The sequence below is a fragment of the Homo sapiens genome, chromosome 8 (assembly GCF_000001405.40).
Source record: "Homo sapiens chromosome 8, GRCh38.p14 Primary Assembly".
Lineage (NCBI taxonomy): Eukaryota > Metazoa > Chordata > Mammalia > Primates > Hominidae > Homo > Homo sapiens.
In genome coordinates this window covers 94,389,934-94,417,168 of record NC_000008.11, presented here as the reverse complement: position 1 = coordinate 94,417,168, position 27,235 = coordinate 94,389,934, and the positions used below count along the sequence as shown (strand labels likewise).

The 27,235-nt window shown below is 35.4% G+C and overlaps 1 protein-coding gene across 2 annotated transcripts in view; it reads left to right on the top strand.

Moving 5' to 3' along the window:
* RAD54B (RAD54 homolog B) overlaps positions 1-27,235 on the top strand; it is a 103,156-nt gene that overhangs the window by 57,947 nt on the left and 17,974 nt on the right. For both annotated transcript variants that reach the window (NM_012415.3, NM_001205263.2), the window contains 7 exons: positions 5,854-6,048; positions 9,449-9,730; positions 12,930-13,092; positions 16,706-16,931; positions 17,548-17,755; positions 23,287-23,426; positions 25,270-25,560. In NM_012415.3, coding sequence (NP_036547.1) covers positions 5,854-6,048; positions 9,449-9,730; positions 12,930-13,092; positions 16,706-16,931; positions 17,548-17,755; positions 23,287-23,426; positions 25,270-25,560 — 1,505 coding nt within the window. The remainder of the gene's footprint in view (positions 1-5,853; positions 6,049-9,448; positions 9,731-12,929; positions 13,093-16,705; positions 16,932-17,547; positions 17,756-23,286; positions 23,427-25,269; positions 25,561-27,235) is intronic.

The window sequence follows — 27,235 nt, the reverse complement described above, 5'->3', positions numbered from 1 at the left end:
TTATATGAATGGAATCCTAAAATATATGGCCTTTGTGACTGGCTTCTTTCACTTAGCATAAATGTTTTCAGGGTTCATCCGTGTTTTAGCATGTATTAGTACTTTGTTCTTTTTCTATGATGGAATTATATTCCATTGTATGCATATGCCACATTTTGTTTATCCTTTGTCAGTTGAATGCACATTTGGGTTGTTTCTACCTGTCGGCTATTATTAATAATCCTAGCTATAAACATTCATATGCAAGTTTTTTTGTGGACATATGTTATTATTCTTTTGGGCATATACTTAGGAGTGTAATTGCTGTGTCATTTGGTAACTCTTGTTTAATTGTTTGAGCAACTGTCATGCTGGTTTTTCCAAAGTGCTGCACCATTTTATACTCCTACCAGCAGGGTATGAGGGTTTTGATTTCTCCACATACGCATCACACTTGTTTATTATCTGACTTTGCGATTCCAGCCATCCTAATGGTTGTGAAGTGGTATTTCAGGTTTTTAATATGTATTTTCTGGATGACTAATGATGTTAAATATCTTTTTATGTGCTTATTGGTTGTTTGTATATATCATTTTCTGAATTGTCTAAGATTTTTGCCTGTTTTCTATTGATTTGTTTGTTGTCTTATTTTTTTTTCTTTTTTTTTATTATTATTATACTTTAAGTTTTAGGGTACATGTGCACAATGTGCAGGTTAGTTACATATGTATACATGTGCCATGCTGGTGTGCTGCACCCATTAACTCATCATTTAGCATTAGGTATATCTCCTAATGCTATCCCTCCCCCCTCGCCCCACCACACAACATTCCCCAGAGTGTGATGTTCCCCTTCCTGTGTCCATGTGTTCTCATTGTTCAATTCCCATCTATGAGTGAGAACATGCGGTGTTTGGTTTTTTGTCCTTGTGATAGTTTACTGAGAATGATGATTTCCAATTTCATCCATGTCCCTACAAAGGACATGAACTCATCATTTTTTATGGCTGCATAGTATTCCATGGTATATATGTGCCACATTTTCTTAATCCAGTCTATCATTGTTGGACATTTGGGTTGGTTCCAAGTCTTTGCTATTGTGAATAGTGCCGCAATAAACATACGTGTGCATGTGTCTTTATAGCAGCATGATTTATAGTCCTTTGGGTATATACCCAGTAATGGGATGGCTGGGTCAAATGGTATTTCTAGTTCTAGATCCCTGAGGAATCGCCACACTGACTTCCACAATGGTTGAACTAGTTTACAGTCCCACTAACAGTGTAAGTGTTCCTATTTCTCCACATCCTCTCCAGCACCTGTTGTTTCCTGACTTTTTAATGATTGCCATTCTAACTGGTGTGAGATGGTATCTCCTTGTGGTTTTGATTTGCATTTCTCTGATGGCTAGTGATGGTGAGCATTTTTTCATGTGTTTTTTGGCTGCATAAATGTCTTCTTTTGAGAAGTGTCTGTTCATATCCTTTGCCCACTTTTTGATGGGGTTGTTTGTTTTTTTCTTGTAAATTTGTTTGAGTTCATTGTAGATTCTGGATATTAGCCCTTTGTCAGATGAGTAGGTTGCGAAAATTTTCTCCCATTTTGTAGGTTGCCTGTTCACTCTGATGGTAGTTTCTTTTGCTGTGCAGAAGCTCTTTAGTTTAATTAGATCCCATTTGTCAATTTTGGCTTTTGTTGCCATTGCTTTTGGTGTTTTAGACATGAAGTCCTTGCCCATGCCTGTGTCCTGAATGGTAATGCCTAGGTTTTCTTCTAGGGTTTTTATGGTTTTAGATCTAACGTTTAAGTCTTTAATCCATCTTGAATTGATTTTTGTATAAGGTGTAAGGAAGGGATCCAGTTTCAGCTTTCTACATATGGCTAGCCAGTTTTCCCAGCAGCATTTATTAAATAGGGAATCCTTTCCCCATTGCTTGTTTTTCTCAGGTTTGTCAAAGATCAGATAGTTGTAGATATGCGGTGTTATTTCTGAGGGCTCTGTTCTATTCCATTGATCTATATCTCTGTTTTGGTACCAGTACCATGCTGTTTCGGTTACTGTAGCCTTGTAGTATAGTTTGAAGTCAGGTAGTGTGATGCCTCCAGCTTTGTTCTTTTGGCTCAGGATTGACTTGGCAATGCGGGCTCTTTTTTGGTTCCATATGAACTTTAAAGTAGTTTTTTCCAATTCTGTGAAGAAAGACATTGGTAGCTTGATGGGGATGGCATTGAATCTATGAATTACTTTGGGCAGTATGGCCGTTTTCACAATATTGATTCTTCCTACCCATGAGCATGGAATGTTCTTCCATTTGTTTGTATCCTCTTTTATTTCATTGAGCAGTGGTTTGTAGTTCTCCTTGAAGAGGTCCTTCACGTCCCTTGTAAGTTGGATTCCTAAGTATTTTATTCTCTTTGAAGCAATTGTGAATGGGAGTTCACTCATGATTTGGCTCTCTGTTTGTCTGTTATTGGTGTATAAGAATGCTTGTGATTTTTATACATTGATTTTGTATCCTGAGACTTTGCTGCAAGGCTGGTTCAATATACGCAAATCAATAAATATAATCCAGCATATAAACAGAACCAAAGACAAAAACCACATGATTATCTCAATAGATGCAGAAAAGGCCTTTGACAAAATTCAACAACGCTTCATGCTAAAAACTCTCAATAAATTAGGTATTGATAGGACATATCTCAAAATAATAAGAGCTATCTATGACAAACCCACAGCCAATATCACACTGAATGGGCAAAAACTGGAAGCATTCCCTTTGAAAACCAGCACAAGACAGGGATGCCCTCTCTCACCACTCCTATTCAACATAGTGTTGGAAGTTCTGGCCAGGGCAATTAGGCAGGAGAAGGAAATAAAGGGTATTCAATTAGGAAAAGAGTAAGTCAAATTTTCCCTGTTTGCAGACGGCATGATTGTATATCTAGAAAACCTCACTGTCTCAGCCCAAAATCTCCTTAAGCTGATAAGCAACTTCAGGAAAGTCTCAGGATATAAAATCAATGTTGTCTTATTTTTAAACTATAAGAATTCTTAGGCTGGGTGCAGTGGCTCACGCCTGTAATCCTAGCACTTTGGGAGGCCTAGGTGGGTGGATCACTTGAGGTCACAAATTCAAGACCAGCCTGGCCAACCTGGTGAAACCCCGTCTCTGCTAAAAGTACAAAAATCAGCTGAGCATGGTGGTGGGCGCCTGTAATCTCAGCTACGTGGGAGGCTGAGGCAGGAGAATCGCTTGAACCCAGGAGGCAGAGGTTGCAGTCAGCCGAGATCACACCACTGCATTCCAGCCTGGGCTACAGAGCAAAACTCTGTCTCAAAAAAAAAAAAAGAAAAAAAAAAAAGAATAATTATTCTGGATACAAGACCTTTGTCTTATTCATATGCTGTGAATATTTTACCCCAGCCAGTGGCTTCCCTTTTGTTTTTTTAATGGCATCTTTCAAAAAGCAAAAGTTTTAAATTCTGATAAAAGTTGATTAATAATTTTTGATTTTTATGTTTCGTGCTTTTGTATTCTAAGAAAGCTTTGTATATCCTGAGGTTACAAATATTTTATCCTGTGTTTTCTATTAGAGATTTTTTGTTTTAGGTTTTACATTTAGGTCTATCATTCATTTTGAGTTGAATTTTGTATATGGGGTGACTTAATGGTTGATGTTTATCTTTTCCAAATGTGTATCCAGTTGGTTTAGCAATGTTTGTTGAAAAGACTTTCCTTTCCTCATTGAATTTGCTTCCCTACCTTTGTTGAAAATAATTTCGCCGTATATGTGTGAATAGTTCTATTTCTTGCTTCTCTTCCAATGCATTGGAATGTCTATATGTCTTTTTTGGAGAGGAAGGGCAGTACCAAACTATCTTGATTATCGCAGCATTATTGTAAACATCCAACTTTGTTCTTTTCAAAAATTGCTTTGGTTAGTCTACGTTACTTTTATTTCCATATGAATTTTTAAATCAACTTGCCAATTTTACTAAAAATGTCCTGGGATTTTGATTGGTATTGTGTTAAATATATTGATCGTTTTGGGGAAAATTACTATCTTAACAAAATTGAATGTTCCAATTCATGAAATAGGAGCTGTGCTTATTTATAAGAGCTTTGTTAATTTTTTTTCAACAAAGCTTTTTAATTTTAGTGTAGAGATCTGGGTTATCTTTTGTTAGATATTTTCCCAAGTATTTCACATGTCTGTTTTTTGGAGCTACTGTGAATGGAATTTAAAAAATTTTATTTTTGATTATTCCTTGCTAGTCTATAAGAATACAGTTGATTTTTGCATATGAACCTTGCATCTTGTGACTCTGCTAAATTTATTCTTCTTTATTTTTAGATTCTCTGGGGATTTCTATGTAAATAGTTACATTATCTGTAAATGCTCCGGTTTTATTTCTTCCTTTCTGATCTTTATACTTTATATGCTTTTGTTGCCTTATTCCTATTTAAGTAAGTAGGAAAATAGTAAAAAGGAAAAAAAATTACTTCATTTTGTTTTTAAAATTTTATTGTTTTGATAGTTTCCATGGTTCAAGTGTGTATGACGTAAAAGACATAGTGAAGAGCTCTTCAGTAATGGCGGGAATGAGATTTTGCTGTCTTCAGCTAAACCACCTTTTATCCAGCCACTGAAAATCTAGTGTGTGCAAGTTAGGTGTAAGAAGCAGGAGACAACGTAATTTTAATAATATTTATTCTCATTTCTACTTTGCTGTTTTATACTTGTTCTTATTTGAAAAAGTAACATATCATATGATCCAACACTTTCACTTCTGGGTATATAGCCAAAAAAAAAAAAAATGAAATTGGCATGTTGAAGAGATATCTGCATTCCCATGTTCCTTGGAGTATTTTTCACAGTAGCCAAGATGTGAAGTCAACTTAAGTGTCCATCAATGGATGAATGGATTAAAAACTTCTTGGTATAGGTACACAGTAGAACACTACTCAGCCTTTAAAAAGAAGGCAATCCTGTCACTTGTGACAACATGGGTAAACCCGGAGGACATTATGCTCAGTGAAATAAGCTGGACACAGAAAGACAATTATTGTGTGATCTCACTTATGTGTGGAATTCAAAAAAGTCAAACTCTTAGAAACAGAAAGTAGAATGATGGTTACCTAGAGTTGGATAGAGGTGGGGCATTGGGGAGATGTTGGTCAAAGGATCCGAAATTTCAGTTAAGGAGGAATAAGTTCAAGAAATCTATTGTATAACATGGTGACTATAGTTAATAACAATGTATACTTGAAAAATGCTAAGAAAGTAGCATTTTAAAAAATGTTTTCACCACAAAAAGTATGTGAGGTAATGGATAATATTAATTAGTTTGATTTAGCCATCCCACAGTGTATACATATATCAAAACAGAATGTTGTGCACCTACATATATATAATTTTTGTTTATCAATTAAATAAACAAAAATTTCAGGTTTTACTTTCAGAGAACTCTGTAATCTTTGCCTTTCCTCAGCTTGTCATGTTACTTAATTAAATCAGTTTTGTCAAAATGTGATTTTAGATATTTTTCCATGCTATAGACATTGAAATAATTTCTTAATTTTTAGAGTTTTAAAATGTTTACAGTGATTATTATGTTATTCTACTTCATTTGAGTTTATTTGACTTCGGAACAGTAAGACATTTGTAGTAATTATACTCATCTGGTAATATTAACACCTGATATTTGGATTTCTTAGTTTATAAAATGCTAACATGAGTATGATCAAATATTCTTTCATACTATTTCTTAATATAATCTAATTTTCTTGTGCCTTTTGGTTTTGTTTGAATGACCTTACTACTTAGACATTAAAGTCATTTTTAATAATGTGTGTTTTTTTTTTAATTGTAGTTCATTCGGCTCCTAAAGAAGTAGCAGTGTCCAAGGAACAAGAAGAGAAATCTGATAGCCTAGTTAAATATTTCAGTGTTGTTTGGTGTAAGCCTTCAAAGAAAAAACATAAAAAGTGGGAAGGTGATGCTGTTCTTATTGTAAAAGGAAAGTCATTTATATTAAAGAATTTGGAAGGCAAAGACATTGGAAGAGGTATTATGATACTACCTAATGTTTACAGTTTGGCCTGAAATTAGTATGTATCTCCGGTTACATAATTGAAATGTAATTGGGTTTTATAAAGAGATGATAAGGTATTCTTTAATGGATGTTCATGCCTCAACTGTGTATAATACATAAAATAATCTCATAATGGTTAGTGAGCCTGACAATCTTATGGTTTATGCTAGCTCAGTGAAGCAAATCCTATCCTATGGTTTCATTTTCTCCAAAAATGGCCAGCCAGCTATATATAGTTATTTTGGTACTTTTCTGAGCTTAAACACTAAATTTGACTTGGTATACTTTCTCTCTCTCTCTTTTTAAGAATGCTAAGTGGTTAAAATTGAAAAATATGTTGATATCAAGTTGAATGATATGTAATTTCAGCACTACTCAATAATGTTTTGAAAAACAGAGCAAGGAGATAATGGTTAGGCCTGACCTAGATTAACATATGGAAATTGGAGGTTGCCATTGTTTCTGTTACAAAATGTTGCCAGCATAATTTGTAGTAATACAAGTTAGGCTACAAATTAAGAATGGCTAACACCAACTACAGTGTCTTTGCATTGTCTCAGTTCAATTTTGAGTGTGACCTATAACTATAAAATCTGTTCTACATGTTTATTTACTTAAAAATATAGTTTATAGTTTTTAATAACTATTATGTGCCAGGCAGTATGCTAGGAATACCAAAGATGATTATAATTTATAATTTAGTGGGAACAAAGCAAAGTAATTGATGATTAGGAAGCAATAATACAGTTGTTTCAATGAGAAGTTTTACTAAATGCAGTTGGAGCATAAAAGAACCATTTAATCTGCCCAGGAAGCAGTGGGAGCATAAAAGAACCATTTAATCTGCACAGGAGGCTAGGGGTAAGCTTGATAGGAGTTACCGTTTAAGATACTATTTGAAGGATGAATAGTTTTGGAGGTTATAGGTAAGGGCCATGTGCAAGAGAGAATAGCACATGTAAAGGCACAAAAGCAGGAAGGAATTCAAACTAGTTCAGTGTTTCAGGAATGTAGTGTATGAAAGGCCGTGACAGTGTTAAGAGTTGAAGCAAACTAAATTATCTACAATAGAATGTTTTATTTATTATAAAAATATGGAACAACTGTGTATAGTGATTGGGGAAGTAAAAAGAAAAATAGATAGTACACATTCTATGTTGGTTAAGGTCGATTGGGGCTAGATTTTTGGAGAATTTGTTCATGCATTGGTATTGCCTCTTTAGTGAAATTCTAAAGTCAGTGAGAGAGGAAAAATTATCACAATTACTTTGGAATATCTTTTACCCCTAAGGTATAGTGTGCATGGTTTTGCATATGTGTAGTTTATAATAAAATGATCTTTCAGTTGCAAGTAACAAAAAATGAAAATTAGGCTTAAAACAGTGGGTTTTTACCCTGACCATGCCAGTAGAATCATCTGAGGTGCTTTTAAGGGTGTAGTGGCTCACGCCTGTAATCTCAGCACTTTGGGAGGCTGATGGGGAAGGATTGCTTGAGGCTAAGTTCGAGACCAGCCTGGGCAACTTAGCAAGACCTTGTCTATACAAAAAAATAAATTAACCAGGTGTAGTGGCATGCATCTGTAACTCTAACTACTTGGGAGACTGAGGCAGGAAGATTGCTTGAACCCAGGAGATCGAGGCTGCAGTGAGCCTTGATCCTGCCACTGCACTCCAGCCTGGGCTGGAGAGACCCTGTCTCTTAAAAAAAAAAAAGAAAGAAAAAGAAAAGAAATGCCGATGCCCAGACTCTGACCTTTCTTTGAGGCTCTGATTTATTTGGCCTGTATGGTAGGGAGAGGGACTGAACATAGGTATATTTTAGGGTTTTCAAAATGAAAATATCCAAACATAGGACTTGGTTGCTTAATTATAACATTAATAAATGTATTAACCTGAAGTTAATTTTGCAAGTTACTGTCTATAAGCAGTTTTTCTTTTAAATAACTGGGATATACAATATGTAAATTTGTTAATGTAAAGATAGAGGTGCTAAGAAAACTGAAAGCTGGAATGCTAAAATTGCTAATAGCTTGTGATAATGCATCAGGCTCAGTTGGCCATCATTGCATAATACCTAGGAAAAAAAAAAAACCAGTATGTGAAACAAAGTTTAAGAGTAAAAGAAAAGCTTCTAGCGACTGAGATGTTTGAAAGAGTCACCTTTGGATCAAGATCATCTATGGATCTAAATGAAATGAGAGATCTTGGAATTAGAGCTACTTTAAAGGTACCTCAAAGTTAAAAGGTTATTCTTGTCTTCCATTTCCATGTAAAACTGAGATTAACAGTAATTGGATTTTATGTGAAGATAAAACTATAATCTTCATTAATTTGGATAAGTGAAGACCAATACTGATTTGGGATGGAGTGATGGGTCTTTGACATTGAGCTAAGTAATTTCTTCCTATATCAGAGCATTACAATTAAAAAGTATTCCACCATAAATAATTTAAGACTATATATTAAATACAGATTGGCACAGATTATAAATTTTAGGCCAGTTTCAGTAGAGAAAATTTTAGTAATTTTCAACTACTTGAAAAGGGTCATCATATTTTCTAAAATGTGGCAGTCTTTTATTATTATTTTTAGAGACTTAAAAGTTTCTGGTATACACAGCTCCTTTGCTTGGTAATGGCACAATAACTACACATTTAATAGTTTAATGCATTTAATAGACAAGCATGGAAGTCTAAAATGCCATCTATGTGGTTAGTGAACTCATTTTAAGCAGCCCATGACTGACTTATCCATACTTATATTTCATCAGCACCTTTACACAGCAACACTTAATAAATGTTCATCAAATTAATAATAATTCAAACAAGCTTAATATTACAAAATATTCCATGTTTTATTAAAGAGTTAGAACATGGAATATCTGTGACCTCTTGCCACAACTGTATTTTAACTTTGCTATCTCATGTGGAACAGTCAGTACTAGTTGTGGTAGCAGTTGCTTTTATTGCTAGTTCTCCTTCACATTTCTAGCTGTTTCTAAGTGAAAATAGAGGTACCATGATGTTTCTGTAGTTTATTTACAAGAAAGGAGGATACATATAGCCTATCAAACTATTTTCTTGGCTTAATTTTTCCGGACAAGAGATGGCAAAACTATAGAGTACAATAATCTATATTTTCAATAGTAAAAAAATTCTTGCTTTCTCTAAAGCATGGCTAATTTGATAGCTGTATTATTTCTTTTGATTTTCAATGTTTTTTTTAACCAAAATGTTAAATTATGCTTCCATTTTGGCTAATGCATTATATAAGACTATTTACATTCAAAGTGCAGTTTTTTTGTACAGTTACGGGAAGGTGACCGTGGTATCATAGAGTGTCAATTAATTTTTTTCTTTCTTAACTTAAAGGCATTGGTTATAAATTCAAAGAGCTTGAAAAGATTGAAGAGGGCCAAACACTGATGATTTGTGGAAAAGAAATAGAAGTCATGGGTGTAATCTCTCCAGATGACTTCAGCAGTGGCAGGTGTTTTCAGCTTGGAGGAGGAAGTACTGCTATCTCGCATTCTTCTCAGGTTGCCAGGAAATGTTTCTCTAACCCTTTCAAAAGTGTTTGTAAACCAAGTTCAAAGGAAAATAGACAGAATGATTTCCAAAATTGCAAACCACGCCATGACCCATATACGCCAAGTAAGATTTTAAAAATAATTTGAATTTTCTGTTTTTACTGTCAAAATGTTTTTTGTGTGTGAATTTGAAGTTTAAATTTTGTTTTAAAAGTTTTAGGTGAAAGTATACATTATTCTTGAGATATATAATCTGACATAAGAGATAATGTTGAAGTCAAATAACAATATAGTTTGGGAATTATTTCATATGTAAATGAATAATTCTAAGAATACAGTAATAAAAATACTGTACATGTGTTGAAGGAAACATATCTAAATTGTATGTGTATACATTACACATACATGTGTATAATTTTGAATAAAATCTGACTTTTTAGTAAGGAGAGAAATTAGTAAATGTATTAATCTGGACTATGATTATACTTCTAATTTGAGGACTGTATGCCTTGATCACAAGCATTAGTGTGTAAAAATATTGAATGGTAAGATTTCATGCAAAGTCCAAATTTTACTAGTGAAAGTTCCATTCAATCAGTTAATTTTCACACTGATGAATGCAATTTTAAAAATCACATTAAAAAAAAAGAAACCTAGATTGTATCTGATTGTTCTTTTGACTGTTCACTCAGCAGGTATTTCTTGATTGCCTTTTATGGGTTGGGCCTAAAGATAAAACTGTCATCACAGAGCTTCTCATTTGGTGAGGGGAAGGACAAGTAATCCGAATCAAAGTATAGTGTAGTAGATGTGAAAGTTGAGACATAGAGGTGACTTCTTTCCTCACAACAGCAAGTATATAAAGTAATGATTATTTTTCCCCATTGCAAGTATTATGGAAACATAAGTTTTGAAGTAAAGAGGCCTTTGAGATCATTTAGATTCGTCTCTTCACTTTGCATTGGAGAAAACTGAGGCCCAGGAAGATGAACCGACTTACCTAAATACAAATAATCAACGGCATTATTGGGACAAAACCCCACAATTAAAAATTCTGAGTTCTATATTAGCTTATCCCAAAGACTTAGTTGAAATACAGGCAGTGGAAGCTGATGCAGCTGAATTTTCTCTTTTTGTCCAAATATTTTGTCTGTCCCACCAGCTCTTTTAACAATCCCCCTCCTCTTTATTCTCCTTTCTCTTTGTACTTTTACTATTACACAATACAGGGCTGTGGGGAACTGAAAAGAATACTGTGCTTATTCAGAGATCTGAGTAAGAATCATGGTTTTGCCACTGAACTAACTGGTTCTTTGACCTCTTGGGGGTAGTCACTAACCTTCCTAATGTTTTGCCTACTCATGTGTAAAACGTGGGTCCTAATAACCACCGTAGAGATTTAGAGTGTCTAGTATATACTCTTTCCAGGAAATACTTGTTGAGTGAGTGAATGAAACATTTTATTGTGGCATTTATGTGTTGTGTGTATGTGATGTAAATGTATATATATGTGTACATGTGAATTTTATATATATGTGTGTGTGTGTGTGTGTGTGTGTAAAAGCACTTCAGGTAAATAGTAAATGGTTAATTATTCTTATGTATTTATCTTAGCCAAGGATAGAATTAGGTTGTAGACTTTAATGCCTCAGACATGTTGTTAATATTAAATGATCGTCTTCATCATTGTGAAGATAAAGAAACATCTTAAAATTTGAACTAGTGTTCTATGATTTTGACTGTTTAGGTTTCTCTTTCTTGAAGATGGGCCTTTTATTAGGTGATTTATAATCCTATAGTCCTTTTTGCTTGGGCAGTATGTGATTTTTCACCTCTATCTTCTCTTTTTCCTTGTTGTCCTTTTTAAAAGATAGAAAAATAACGGGGCCATTTCTTGACTGGAAATCCACAAGGAGCACACTCTTACTTTGCTACAGTGATATAGAGGAAAGCCAAGGACTACATTTCCCATTTTTACTTCCTAGTCTCCTACCTAACAGGAATTGACCTCAAAGATGAAAGTTCATTTCAGTTACTCAGAAACCTAGGAAGATCCAGAGAAAACTTACCCTCTGGGTATTTGTTAATGGTAAACATGACTAAACTCTTATTCCTGTGACAGTATAGTTCCACACTGATGAATATTTACATAGTCTACTGGAGTCTATTTCTTTTTATCTCCTCTTCTCATCTCCTCATTCTTTTTTCTTTTTTTATCTAATTCAATTTTTATAAACATGATGTAGGCATGCAAATATATCCCCAAAATAATTTTGGTGGGTTTATTATCTAATTTCAGATTTATCAATTGAGACCTGCCTTCTAGTTATATTTGATTTTGCCTTTTTGGGTGATATTTTAGTAAATCTTTTAAATTGTGTTAGCATAGTTTTGAAGAATTACATTGTTATTCTATGATGACTTCATGCTGCTTTAAAGAGGTTCATGAGGCTGGGTGCAGTGGCTCATGCCTTTAATCCCAGCACTTTGGGAGGCTGAGGTGGGCAGATCACTTGAGGTCAGGAGTTCGTGACCAGCCTGGCTAACATGGTGAAACCTTGCCTCTGTTAAAAATACAAAAATTAGCCGGGTGTGGTGGCGCGAACCTGTAATCCCAGGTACTTGGGAGGCTGAGGCACGAGAATTGCTTGAACCTGGGAGGCGGAGGTTGCAGTGAGCTGAGATCACACCACTGCACTCCACCCTGGGCAACAGAGTGATACTCTGTCCCCAGAAAAAAAAGCTTTATGAACTTGACATTCATGAATGTAGTAATTAACTTCAAGCAAATAATGGTGGCTAAGTCAATGGAGAATTTATCATTTTTTCTCAGTTCTAATTAATAGGAGTAATGATCATTGTTAGTGTGTTTAGGACTGAAAAGATAGAAAGCCTGTATGTTAAATTTGGGGAGACTTTTCAGAATGAGAAGCTGTGAACATTGGCAAATGCATCTTGGCAAAATTCCAACCTGTACTTTCAGTTGGAAATAGTTCTCTTTGCTCTGAATACTGAACTATTCAATGTTGTGGCTTATTGAATTCCTTACTAGACAATAGTGAATTTCATTGCTTTCGAAGCACTTTTGGGTATATGAAGTTTGGAAGGCTCTTCGTAATTCTTTGCATGAAATCGTTCATCAGTAAGGCATGAGATTTTCTTTTTAAATTTTGTGCCCTTGGGTAACATTACTGTGACTAAATTTTGGACTTTTTTGGCCACAAATGATGGCAAACATTTCTATCTTAGGGTAATGAAAACAAGATAATGTTGGTTGCTGAAAAAGTGAAATTACAATACTTGTACTTTTATCATTTTTTAAGATTCCCTCGTTATGCCACGACCAGATAAGAATCACCAGTGGGTATTCAATAAGAACTGTTTCCCTCTTGTGGATGTAGTGATTGATCCTTACCTTGTATATCATCTTCGACCACATCAGAAAGAAGGAATCATATTCCTTTATGAATGTGTAATGGGAATGAGGTAGGAAAATAAATCATTTGTTTAATCTAATCTGAATTTTGATTTAACCTGTAACACAATAATGGTTTTCTAAGAAGATCCTAATATAATGAGTCCTGAGGGTACACTATGAATTTCAATTGGTAGGAAAGGTGAATAGTGCTTACTGTGTGCATTTATTCCAAAAGTGGTTCTTGATAGATGCCACGTGCCAAACATACTGCTAGGAGGTGGGCATATGGGAATCAGGACCACGGTCCTTACTTTTAAGTGGCTTTTAAAGTATTTGAGTAAACAGATAAATGCAATTGACCTTAATGTGGTATAATAAAAGCTTACCGACTGCTAGTGTGGTAAAGGGTCATAAGAGCAAGTGAAAGAGGCTTTTAATTCTGGTTATAAGAATTTTTTTTTTTTTTTGGAGACGGAGTCTTACTATGTTGCCCAGACTGGAGTGCAATGGCGTTATCTTGGCTCACTGCAATCTCCATCTCCCAAGTTCAAGTGATTCTTGCATCTCAGCCTCCTGAGTAGCTAGGATTACAGGCGTGCTCCACCATGCCTGGCTAATTTTTGTATTTTTAGTAGAGACGGGGTTTCACCATGTTGGCCAGGCTGGTCTTGAACTCTTGACCTCAAGAGATCCACCCACCTCAGCCTCCCAAAGTGCTAGGATTACAGGCATGAGCCACTGCACCTGGTTATGAGAATTTTGGAAAAAGATTTTCTTCTGTCTCTACATCTGAAAATAGAAAAAAGTTTCTTCTTCCTTTTTGCATTTTCTGATTAAAGAATAGTAGTATCTTAAAGATATTTTAGAGGACACAAAAAAACAGGAGAAAAAAAGAATCAAAGGCCCCTGCTAACATTTCTTCCAGTCTTTTTTGTTTATTTGTTTTGGTTTTGTTTTGCCTTGTTTTTAAATGCCAAGACCCTTGATTTTAAAATTTGTCCTTTAAAGGTAGTTGGAAATGAAATTCTCCCCAACTCTAAGAACTCCTTGAATGATGACAAGTTAAGGGAATACTGTCTTCCAGAAACTGTTAACTAGACTCATATTTCCTCCCAAATCTGCTTTTTCTTTCGAAGGTCTTATCTCAGTTGGTCTGTGAATCATCTTTGATTTCTTCTCTCTCACATTCTGAATCTAGTCAAACCTGAACTTTTAATTATTTTAACCTCCTAAATATTGTTTCCTAATCTTTTCTGTCATTCCACTGCAGCATCTCTAGTAACCGATGTCATAAAAATATCATATTTTATCTAGACTATTGCAATGGCTTCTAACCTGTATATTTGCTTCTGATGCTTCTCAAATAATGTATTCTACTTAAAGCCACCATCTTGAGTTTTCTGAAAAACAGTTCTGAACATGGCATTCCCTTATTTAAAATCATTCAGAGACTCTCAGAACTTAGAACAGTGTTTCCCAAACTGTGATCCCTACTCCACTGGCAGTATATGGGACCATTTTGAGGTGGCAAGTGGACAAGCCTTTAAAAAAATTTGAATAGTAGCATATTTAGTTAATTATTGGAAAAATAGGCTGGGCATGGTGGCTTACACCTGTAATCCCAGCATTTTCGGAGGCCAAGGCAGGCGGATCACTTGAGGTCAGGAGTTCAAGACTAGCCTGGCTAACATGGTGAAATCCCGTCTCTACTAAAAATACAAAAATTAGCTGGGTGTGGTGGCAGGCACCTATAATCCTAGCTACTCAGGAGGCTGAGGCAGGAGAATCACTTGAATCCAGGAGGCGGAGGTTGCAGTGAGCCAAGATAGCGCCACTGCACTCCAGCCTGGATGACAGAGCAAGACTCCGTCTGGAGAGGAAAAAAAAAAAAAAGAAAAATAGCACATTAAACTTTTGGTTTCACAGATAAATTATGCTTAGAAAGAGTTTTCTTTTCAAATTTAAGTTAAAATGATTTGAAGAAAAATCATAAATAACATATAGTATCACAGATATGACAACAAATCGTGATGGTAGTCATGAAATACTGGTGTTTGGGAGATGCTGATATATAAGATACAGTCTAAACTCTCAAGGTTAAGTATCCTCATCTTTTGTCTTCTACCTGCCGTGCTAGCTTCATATTTTTCAGTTCAAGCTCCAACTATATTCAGCTGCCTAATTAGTGTAGTAATTATTTACCCTTTACAATTTTGCTCAAGGTACATCTCCATAAAGGCTTCCTGTTTGCTCCCTTCTCTTTATCGTGAAAGGATGAATCTGGATTTTCTCTTTGCTATTCACTGTATCTCATTGGGCTGACATTTGGTCCTTTGTTGCCAAAGTATTGATCTAAAACAGCCACCTAAATAGTAGCCGTAATTTATGTTGGTAATTTTTTTCTCTATACCTTGAAATGGAACACATATATAAAATTGCATATTGGTTCTTAATTTCTACTAAGAAGAAATACAATTAACTGACAAACTACAGTTGACTCTTGAACAACTCAGGAGTTAGGGGTGCTGACCCACTGTGTAGTCAAAAATCTGCATATAACTTTTGCAGAAACTTAACTAATAAACTACCGTTGACTGGAAGCCTTACTGATAACATAAACACTCAATTTACACATAATTTCATATATGTATTATATACTGTATTTTTACAAGAAAGCCAGAAAAAAGAAAGCATGAAGAAAACCATAAGGAAGAGAAAATGTATTTACTATTCATTAAGAGGAAATGGATCATCATAAAGCTCTTCATCCTTATCATGTTGAGTAGGCTGAGGAAGAGGAGGAAGAGGAAGGGTTGGTTTGGTTGTCTCAGGAGTGGCAGAGGTGGCGGAAGAGGTGGAGGAGATAGAAGGGAGGCAAGAGAGGTAGGCACACTCATTTATAACATTTATTGAAAAAAACCCATATATAAGTGGACTTTCACAGTTCAAACCCTTCTTGTTCAGTGGTCAACTGTATACTTATGTATTTTGGTAATATCCTTAATTCCCTTGGACTTTCTTAACTTTAAAAATATAAAACATACACTTCTAAGGTCTTTAAAAATATAAAGTGGCATAAAAATACATGGTCTTACTAATAATATCTCTAATAACATTTAATTTTAAATTATATAACAGTAGGTCTGTAGGATAACAACTTTTACTAAATTATATGTATTATATCAAGTGTTTAGTGTTTAATTTTTTTATGATGCAGGGAGCTATTTTTGTTGAGGACTTCATTTACTGACAGAATCATAAAATACAGCTCAGTAGATCTTGCTGATTAAATATAATACAACAATATATTTTAAACTGTTTTGATATCTGAAACCAATAAAAATCACTCAACTCTTAGTGATGAGAAACACAGTTATAGTTAAATTATCCATATGCAGATATAAAATTGGAATTCATTTCTAGCCTCTAAATATGTACATGTAATAGTAGCAGATGATTTAGATTCAACTCTCTAATTTCAGATTTATGTTTTGGTAATTTAGTTGACAATATGTAATGGATATAATTATCAAAGATGCAAAAGATGTGTTGTAAATCAGCTAATGAAGTACTAAAAGTCTTCAGTGTCATTACAAAATATCAGTTTCTGGTTCTTGATGATTTTAAGAGCATAAAATATTTTTCTATTGTGATTAAAGGAAGTAAAATTATTTCTAACAGAATGAATGGCAGATGTGGAGCTATTCTTGCTGATGAAATGGGTTTAGGGAAGACATTGCAATGTATTTCGCTCATCTGGACCCTGCAGTGTCAGGGACCCTATGGAGGCAAGCCAGTAATAAAGAAGACACTAATTGTCACACCTGGAAGCTTGGTGAATAATTGGAAGAAAGAATTTCAAAAATGGCTAGGAAGTGAAAGGATCAAGATATTTACTGTTGATCAGGTAAGAAACTTAAAAGTTTAGCCTTAGTCATTTAAAAAAAATCTAGTTTTTCAAATCAGTAATTCAGTTTTTACTTGTTAACTCCCTAACCCTTTTGCACAAAAATGGAGTTTTAGCTTACATTTTGGTTTTGAGTTGTTATGGACTGAATGTTTGTGTCCCCCAGATTCATATGTTGAAACCCTAACTTTCAATATAGCAGTATTAGGAGGTGGGCTTGGGAGGTAGTTAGGTTTAAATGAGGTCGTGAGGGTAGAGCCACGTGATGAGATTAGTGCCTCCGTAACCAGAGCAAGAGACACCAGAACTTCCTTTCTTTACCATGTGAGGATACAGTAAAAAGCATTCTTCTGCAAGCCAGGAAGAGGGCTCTCACCAGAACCCAACCATGCTAGCACCCTGATCTTAGACCTTCCACCAGAACTGTGAGAAATAAATGTCTGTTGTTTAAGCCACCCAATCTATGGTATTTTGTTTATAGCAGCCTCAGTTGACTAAGACAGAAAGAGTTAACACATTCCAGTTCTTAGTAAGTGACTGTCAGGAATAGGCTGCTTAAATTTGATTTCATATAGTTTCTGTTCCTGATTTTTAAAATACTATCTTTTTTCCTCAGGACCACAAAGTTGAAGAATTCATCAAGTCTATATTTTATTCTGTTCTTATTATCAGTTATGAAATGTTACTTCGTTCCCTGGATCAAATTAAGAATATAAAATTTGATCTTCTAATCTGTGACGAGGGGCATCGTTTGAAGAACAGTGCCATTAAGACAACTACAGCCCTCATTAGCCTTTCTTGTGAGAAAAGAATAATTCTAACTGGTCAGTATTCAGTTTGGGGAAGATATTTTGGAATTTTTGCCTAGTGAACATACAGACTTGTACTATGATGCTTAACATTCAAATAACTGGTGGTGTTGGATGGAATTTATACTAATAAACCTGTGTTAATTAACTCTTGGTAGGATTCTGAATCTTCAAATCCATGTGTAATTTTCTGTAGCCCAGACTTTGGAGTTTTTTAGGAATAAACACAATGATATCATGATAAGGAATTTAGGAGATCAGACTGGATTGCTTGTGCTTGGTTCCCGAGTCTGACATAGCTGTACAACTTGGAGCAAATTATTTAGTGTCTCTGTGCCTCAGTTTTTTTAAATCTCTAAAATAGGAATGATAATACCATCTAACTTTGTAGAGTTCTCATGAGGGTCAGAGGAGTTAATCAATGTAAAGTTCTTGGGAAACTACCTGACACGTGGTAAGTGTTTAATATCAGTTATTTATAACTACCTGACATGTGGTAAGTGTTTAATATAAATATCAGTTATTTTTATATGTATATGCTACATATGCATGGTTTATTGTTGGACAGAGCTTCTGGACCCAACTGTCTGGAAAGGTGGAATGGATGGTAAATACGAGAATCCTCTTCTACCTTTTTATTTAAGGCCTAGACTGGAGTATGATCTAAGTAGCTCAATGTAGCTTTTCTCCCATATCTCATCTTGGTCTTGTATGGCCCTTCCACTTTGCCGTTGTGTCAGCAGAATAAAGAAGAGAATTGTATTCATTACTAATATTTACAATTCCCCTATTTTCTACTTGGGGCTTCATTTTCCCTACCATCTTCAGCCCTTTTGGAAGGAATGGTCAGGATATGATTATTCTTACTGTGTCATCGTCATTTTTTCCTTCATGTGTCGTTTATGCATGTCACAGCTCTCTGAAGTTAAATGAAGAGAGAGAAGGAGTATGACCAAAAACTTGTACCTCCTTCCTATACTGATAGGGTGGAAATATGCCCCAGAACAACAGAGAGGAGAAAACTCCTCCTCTTCTGTTCTTACTGTGTTGGGGTGGGGAAGACTATCCACCTTTAAGAAATTCCTCATGATTTGACTTCCAATTTGTATAGGAGGATTGTATTAACCATTATCAAAAGCGATTTTTAAAATGATCTGTGCTTTAAAAAAATGATTTTGGGAAATGCTAAATGACCTTTTTATTTTTTGAATTTAATCACGATGATAAAGACAAAAGGACTAGGGTCAAATTTCATAGTTATACCCCCAAGATTTTCTGGATGCCCAATGAATGTTTGTCAGTAATAGTGAAGTGGAAACCAAAGAATAGGAAAACTAGTGTTGAATATTTATAAAATGCCATTTTTAAAGGAAAAAATGAGTCAGGGAAATAGGAACCATACTCTGAATGATTTTCATATCTTTGGCTGTTTGAGAAGCTGAGTGGATTCGTTATACTTGATTTCCAGTGCTGCAGTTCAGATTTCTTTACTGGCCTTTGATCTTGAGATCACTGGAGCCAGAAAAGTAATGAAAAAAAAAATGAGTTAGCTGAATTTAGTAACACTGAGTTAGAAGAGAAAAAGACTGTTTCTTCTTACTGCTTAAGGATGGGGGTCAGTATTGCTTATTTAAAGAATAGTTGCAGATATAAAGTAAAAATGTTTAGCACTAGAAGGGAGAAGAAAAATAAATAAAAAAGAAGAGTGAGAAATAAAATATACTGAAAAGTACTGAAGATAAGAAATAAAAGTAGTTCCCTTCCTCACTTGAAAATCATAATTTTCTGTAGCAAAAATATATAATTTTATTGATATACTCAATGATAAGCAAATACTAATTTAACATTCCAAATTAAATTTAATCTGCAGTAGAAAATTGATCTAGGATTTCATTCAACAAGAATGTCTTGATAGCAACCAGTGAGATTGTTTCATTTGAGGCATTAGTATTGTCCTCTGTATCCTTTGTCAATCTTAGCTTGTTTCTGTTTTGCTGTCCTTATCACTCTTATCCCCTGAGCTATGAATTTAGGTAAAAACTAGCCCTAACTAACCTTTTTAATTTAGAAATACTCATAGTTGGTTTCTGTATTCTTAGAATTGCCTGAATGAAGTCTTTGCTTTTATGGGCAGGACGTTTTACCCCAAGATGATTTGTTCCTTATTATGAAAGTACATGTTTGTATAGGAGTATGTACAGTGATATATACATGATAGGTGCTCAATAACTAAGAATCAAATGAAAATAATTTTGATTTTGTTTCCTCATATTATCTAGCCCAGTGCTGTGGAGTTAATATTTACTGGAAAATGGTTAGGATTCAGTTTGATTGATAGAGGGGTATTAGTCTTGTAGCACTGCCATAGCAAAAGACCACAGACTAAACAACAGACATTTATTTTCTCACAGTTCTCGAGACTGGAAGTCCAAGATCAAGATGTCAGCAGGTTTGGTTTCTATTGAGGTCTCCCTGCTTGGCTTGCAGAGAGCTGCCTTCTCCCTATGTCCTCATGTACTCTATCCTCTCTGCAAATGTATTCGTGGAGTATCTCTCTCTCTTCTTAGAAGGACACCAGTCATATTGGATTAGGGCCCCATCCTTAGGACCTCATTTAACCTTAACTGCCTTCTTAAAGGTCCTATCTCCAAAAACAGTCACATTGGGGGTTAGAGCTTCAACATAGGAATTTTAGGGAGATACAGTTCAGCCCACAATTAAGAGCTGAATGATTATTATAAGATCTTCAATGCCCTTTCATTATATCATAGAAAAGATAAATCTGAGATTAATTCTTTACTGTTATAAATAATGTGGTGATGAATATCTACAAGCATATACTCTTTGTGTATAGATTCCTAGAAGTGGGCTTATAGGATTAAAAGGAAAAATATAAATGTGTATAAAAAGCTCTCAGAGCTTTCTGTGGAGGTTACAGGAGGATATAGGTGTAGGTTATTGACAGTGTTGGGTTGGGTGGTAGATTTATTTCTTTTTTAAAAAAACAAACCAAAAAACAAAGAAAAAGCTTTTTTTTTTTTGTAGGGATAGGGTGGAGGTAGGGAAAAGAAAGAGTCCTTTCATTTTCTCAGAAGTTTCTTTCCCATACTCTTGAAAATAGTCTTAGTAAGTACACCAACTTGACTTGAAAATCTTTAGTTTTTTTTTTTTCTTCTACAGGTTTTACCTAGTCTAGAATTAGAGCACTGAAATAGCAAATGGGGATCTAAATTACCACTAGAAAGCAATGTGACAAACTCTTACAATGATGCTATACTATACAATTGGTTCTGTCTTGTAGCCATATTCCCCTTCTCATCTTTTTCCCCCCTTCCTTACTCTTTTTCCTTCTTCTTTTCTGCCCTAAATCCTTTTTCCTATTCCCTTCTTGTGTTCTGCTTTTCTTCTTTTGTCCAGTTTTGTTCTTGCCTCTTCCCTTTGTATATCAGTTGGGATGATTTCAGATGCTGGTAACAGATGATCTGAATCAGATGTGCTTATTCCCCCATATAACTGGAAGTCTAAAGGTAGGCCAGGCTACAACAACCCAACGTTGTCATCAAGGATTCTGGTTATGTCTTCTGCTCTGCCATATTTGGTGTTGGCTTCATCCTCAGGCTGGTAGCAAGTGACTGCAGCAGTTCCAGACATCACAGCTAGATGTGATGATATCCAAAGGAGAACAGGACTGGCTCTTCTTGTTTCTCTGTGTTTAAGAGGGACTTTCCTCAAAGCCCCTCTGTGATGACTTCTCATGTCTCATTGGCCAGGATGAGTCACATGCTACTGATGGAACTTCTTGGTGCCCTTTCTAGCTCTCCTTTTCTGGGCTGTTGTATCCATCCTTTAGCTGCTGGTACTATTGATTAAACAACTTAGAACCCCTTCCTTTTCTGGAGAATTATCTTTGATTGAATGAGAGCTGTATTCTCCTCTATAGTTTGCAATCAACGACTGACTGATTTAGGGGTAAGCAGCAAATGGCAGCTCCCTTGCCTTAGAGTGATTTCAGGACCAACGTTATGGTGCAGTTTATGCTCTAGAGCTCCCTGTAATTTAGCTCAAGCTAAATTATAGCTGAGGCCATTCTTGCTTAGTTTCTTCCCCTACCATTTTCTGATTCCATTATTCCCTTTCTCCTGAGAGCTCTCCCTCTGTAAATCACATGCAAACAAATCACTGTCTTAGGCTCTGCTTCCAGTGAACGCAGTATGAGACAAGAACCCTTGAGTATGTCAGTCATTTGCAAAGGAGGGGACAGAATTACCATGATTGACTTAATCATTTGGGGTTTGATGAATGTCTGAAAGCCAACCACAGTGATCCTTCTACCGTTCTTTCTCGTCTTTCCTATACTCCCCAATCTTTGTCATCATCATGCATATTCTTTTAGAGGCTTAACTGAATATATACCAACATAAATGTATTTTTCCCAACTCTTTCAATGATGTGTCTAAAAATTTAAAACTGACTAGATGTGTTAAATTTAAAAAAATTAGCAATTGCTGGTCCAACCTGGGGGTGGGGAGGACCCATTAAGTTTTAGGGAGGTGATTATTAAATTCCTTGACATTAAAAAAGTTATGTCATCTATCTTAATGAAATAAATGCATTTTTATTTACTTTTCACATTATTTATATCTTTGGACAACATTTTCTAATCTCTTATTTGAAAGCCATCTGATATTACATTGTTTGTGCTGATTTATATGTTCTTTTGGCACTATTATAATTATTGAAACATGCTAATGTTTCTTTGAAAATTAGCCTAAAGCTATTGCATACTATATGTAATATATAGAAGGTATATGAATCCATTACAGTCTGTATTAACCCTTTGGATGGTGAAGATCTTAATTTGATCTGATAACTTTGAAAGGTAGTAATAATAGGTGCCATTCAATGAGTGTCTACTGAGTGTCAGGCATTTTGCTGGGTACTTCATATCCATTGTCTCTACTTTCCATTATAATTATTCTGGGAATTTATTATCTTTATACGTTTATAAATGAAAAAAAAAATTCTGAGTTTAAAGGACTTAAGCAGTTTGTCCAAAGTCACACAGCTATAATAACAGTAAAATTACTAAAGTTATAGAACATTTATTATGCTGTAGGCACCATTCAAAGTATATTATATGGATTGACTACTTTGATCCTCACAACCCTAGGAACGACTGTTATTATCTGCATTTTACAGAAAATAAACTGGTGTAAATAACTTTCTCAGGGTCACTCAGGGAGTAAGTGATGCAGGTAGGATTTGAACCTAAGCAGTCAGACTCCACTGAGCCTGCACTCAGTCTCTATGCTATACTACTATGTAAGAACTTAGTATGCAATTAAAACCAGAGTTAAAAGTTTATGTGGTGATTAATATGTTTTAACTTGCTTTGACTGCTCTTTCTTAGTTTTAGGCAATTTGCTTGTATTTATTCCTTTTAGGGAATAAATTTCTCCAAACTTCCATTGTGGTTTTGCTATAAACCTGAGATTGTGATTGTAAAACACAAACTTGACCTTTTACTCATTTTTGTCTCTCTTTAGGTACTCCAATTCAGAATGATCTGCAAGAATTTTTTGCATTAATTGATTTTGTAAATCCAGGAATATTAGGCTCTTTGTCATCTTATAGGAAAATATATGAAGAACCCATCATTTTATCGAGAGAACCTTCTGCTTCTGAGGTATAATTTACTCTAATAAATAGGTTTTTAAAAAGCCGTATGTCTGAGGAAATCATCCATAACTTCATATTATTTTGATTTAGAAAAATCAATAGTGTGAACTCTTTATTTTTCTCCACAATCCTTCGTTTCTTGCATTCCTTATTTTAGAATATGACATCACTTGTCTAAAATTCATGAATAGGAACTTCACAAAGAATTATGACAATAAACATATAAAAATGTTCATCTTTACTAGTTTTGAAAAAAGTAGAACAAAATAACCAAAGTGACTTTTGTACTTTTCTATTGGTGTGTGTTTGTTTATTTAGAGATGGTGTCACTCTGCGTTGCCCAGTCTGGCCTTGAACTCCTGGAGTATCCTTTTGCCTCAGCCTCCCGAGTAGCTGGGACTGCAGGTGTATACCACCTCCCCAACTTGGATTTACTAGTAGTAGCAAGTGTAGACAAGAGTCTCCTATTTGGAATGTAAATTGTTGGTTGGAATGTACGTTGGCACAACTTGGGGAAAGTTTGGCAATGTATATCAAAAGCATTAAAATTGTGTATATCTTGTGGCCTGGCAATACTCCTTTTATGAATTTATTATAAAAAAAAGTACATTTATTTAAAAACTTAGCTGGCTGGGTGTGGTGGCTCATTCCTGTAATCCCAGCACTTTGGGAGGCTGAGGTGGGTGGATCACTAGGTCAAGAGATCGAGACCATCCTGGCCAACATGGTGAAACCCCGTCTCTACTAAAAATACAAAAATTAGCTGGGCATGGTGGCACATGCCTGTAGTCCCAGCTACTCAGGAGAATCACTTGAACCCGGGAGGCAGAGGTTGCAGTGAGCTGAGATCATGCCACTGCACTTTAGCCTGGTGACAGAGTGAAACTCCATCTCAAAAAAAAAAAACAAAACTAAAAAATTAAAAACTTAGCTATAGGGTATAGGGTGACCTTATGTCTACCAAAAAAAAAAAAAAAAAAAAAAATCAGCCAGGTGTGGTGGCATGTACCTGTGGTCCCAGCTACTTGGGAGGCTGAGGTGGGAGGATTGCTTGAGCCTGGGAGGTGGAGGTTGTAGTGAGCTGAGATCACATCACTGCACTCCAGCCCTGGGCGACAGAGTGAGACTCTGTTTCAAAAAAATAAAACGAAATAAAAACTTAGCTGTAAGGGTAAAAAATTAGAAACTGGCTGGGCACAGTGGCTCATGCCTGTAATCCCAGCACTTTGGGAGGCTGAGGCAGGTGGATCACTTGATGTCAGGAGTTTAAGATCAGCCTGGCCGACATGGTGAAACCCCATCTTTACTAAAAATATAAAAATTCGCCAGATATAGTGGTGTGTGCCTGTAATCCCAGCTACTCAGGAGGCTGAGGCAAGAGGTTCCCTTGAACCCGGGAGGTGGAGGTTGCAGTGAGCCGAGATCGTGCCACTGCACTCCAGCCTGGGTGATAGAGCAGGACTCTGTCTCAAAAACAACAACAACAAAAAAGAAGCAAACTAAAGGAAACACAAATGGGAAACAAACATTTTTAAAGGTAGGACAATGGTTAAATTATGGTCTACGTGTTGTATACAGACTATATTTCATTGACTCTAAGATTCTACCAATTATAGGATATATCATTATTTTGTTATTTAGGAGACTGTGACTTCACTTAATTAAATGGTTATGCTAAACATATAAATAGATCATGGTTGGTTTTTCTGTCCCTATACTCATATTTTATTTCTTTTAAAATTTGTTGGGAAGCAATGAGTAAATGGTTTATCATTATGAAATCTTTAATGTTCATTTTAAGTGTATTTTTGTCTATAACACTTTCATTTAAGTCTGCTATTTTTCCATAGGAAGAAAAGGAGTTAGGAGAAAGAAGAGCAGCTGAACTTACTTGCCTCACTGGACTCTTTATCCTTAGAAGAACCCAAGAAATTATAAATAAATATCTCCCACCTAAAATAGAGAATGTTGTCTTTTGCCGACCAGGAGCACTACAGATTGAGCTTTATCGAAAGCTGTTAAATTCTCAGGTTGTCAGGTTCTGCCTTCAAGGGTTGTTGGAAAATAGTCCCCATCTAATATGTATAGGAGCTCTTAAAAAACTGTGCAATCACCCCTGCCTTTTGTTCAACTCTATAAAGGTAAGTGCATAGTATCTGAAACTGTGTCAGGGATATGAGGGTTCTATAGTATATGAATCTAAGAGGGCAGACAGGGCTAATTTCTGAGGTTGCATTTGTGGGTTTTCAAAAAGCTCTGCTGGCTATCTAGTATGGTTCTGCTGTAGAGCTTATCCAGCCTTTCATTTGTTCTTCAGAGCATGTCCACACTCCTAGAGCTGAAGTAGGGAAGAGATGAGTTTGAGGTACTGCCTTCTATAGTTTGTGCCCAATCCCCTTTGGCACCTTATCTAATACTTGGCGATCGTCTCCCTTCCTATTTTATGTTAATATAGTCTGTCAGTTTTGTTTGTTTGGTGCTGACAAATACAAAATGTGCCATTAAAAATAATTTATTTTTTTCTCATTTTGAAAGTGATACATGATTGTGCATAAAATTTAGAAAATTCAGAAAATCACAAAGAAAATAAAAATCATCTTAAGCTCAACCCATGGAAAATCACATTTTGGTATTAATAATATTAGCTAACAGTTATTAAGCACTAATTATATACAGGTTGAGCATTCCTAATCTGGAAATTAGAAATTCAAAATGCTCCAAAATTCAAAACTTTTTGAGTGCCAACATGACATCACAGGTGGGAAATTCCATACCTGACATCTTTGCTTTCTGATGTTAAGTGCGCACAGACTTTGTTTCATGCACAAAGTTATTAAAAATACTGTATAAAATTACCTTCAGGCTATGTGTATAAGGTATATATGAAATATAAATGAATTTCGTGTTTAGACTTGCAGCCCATGCCCAAGATGCAAATATTCCAAAATCTGAAAAAATCTGAAATCTGAACCACTTCTGTTCCCAAGTATTTTGGATAAAGGATGGTCAACCTGTACCAATCACTAAGTGCTTTATTAGTGTTATTTTATTTATTATTTACAAAACTCTGGAATAAGTACTAGTATTACCATCCCCATTTTTTTGGTGAGGAAATAGGGGCTCAGATATATATGTATATATGTATATATATTATATATAAAATCTCTATATATAATCTATATATATATAATCTTATTCTGGAGAAACTTAGTGATGCTGTTTATTTATTTGTTTATTTATTTATTTTTTGAGATGAAGTCTTGTTCTTGTCCCCCAGGCTGGAGTGCAATGGCATGATCTTGGCTCACTGCAACCTCCACCTCCCACGTTCAAGCGATTCTCCTGCCTCAGCCTCCCGAGTAGCTGGGATTACAGGCGCCTGCCACCACACCCAGCTAATTTTTGTATTTTTAGTAGAGACGGGGTTTTACCATGTTGGCCAGGCTGGTCTCGAACTCCTGACCTCAGGTGATCTGCCTGCCTCGACCTCCCAAAGTGCTGGGATTACAGGCTTGAGCCACCGCACCTGGCCCTTTTTATTTATTTTTTTTAAAAATATTTATTTTTTAAAAAATAGAGATGGGGTCTCACTCTATTGCCCAGGCTGGTCTCGAACTCCTGAGCTCAAGTGATCCTCCCACCTCAGCCTCCCAAAGTGCTGAGATTACAGGTGTGAGCCACTGCGCCCAGCCGCAACTTAAAAAAAACTGATTCTATATACAGTGATAAAAATCAAACCCTTTGGGCATGAAGCACGGTAAAAATAGCCAAAAATTTCTTCATTAAAAGGAAGACCTTATGATGGCCCAGAGTATA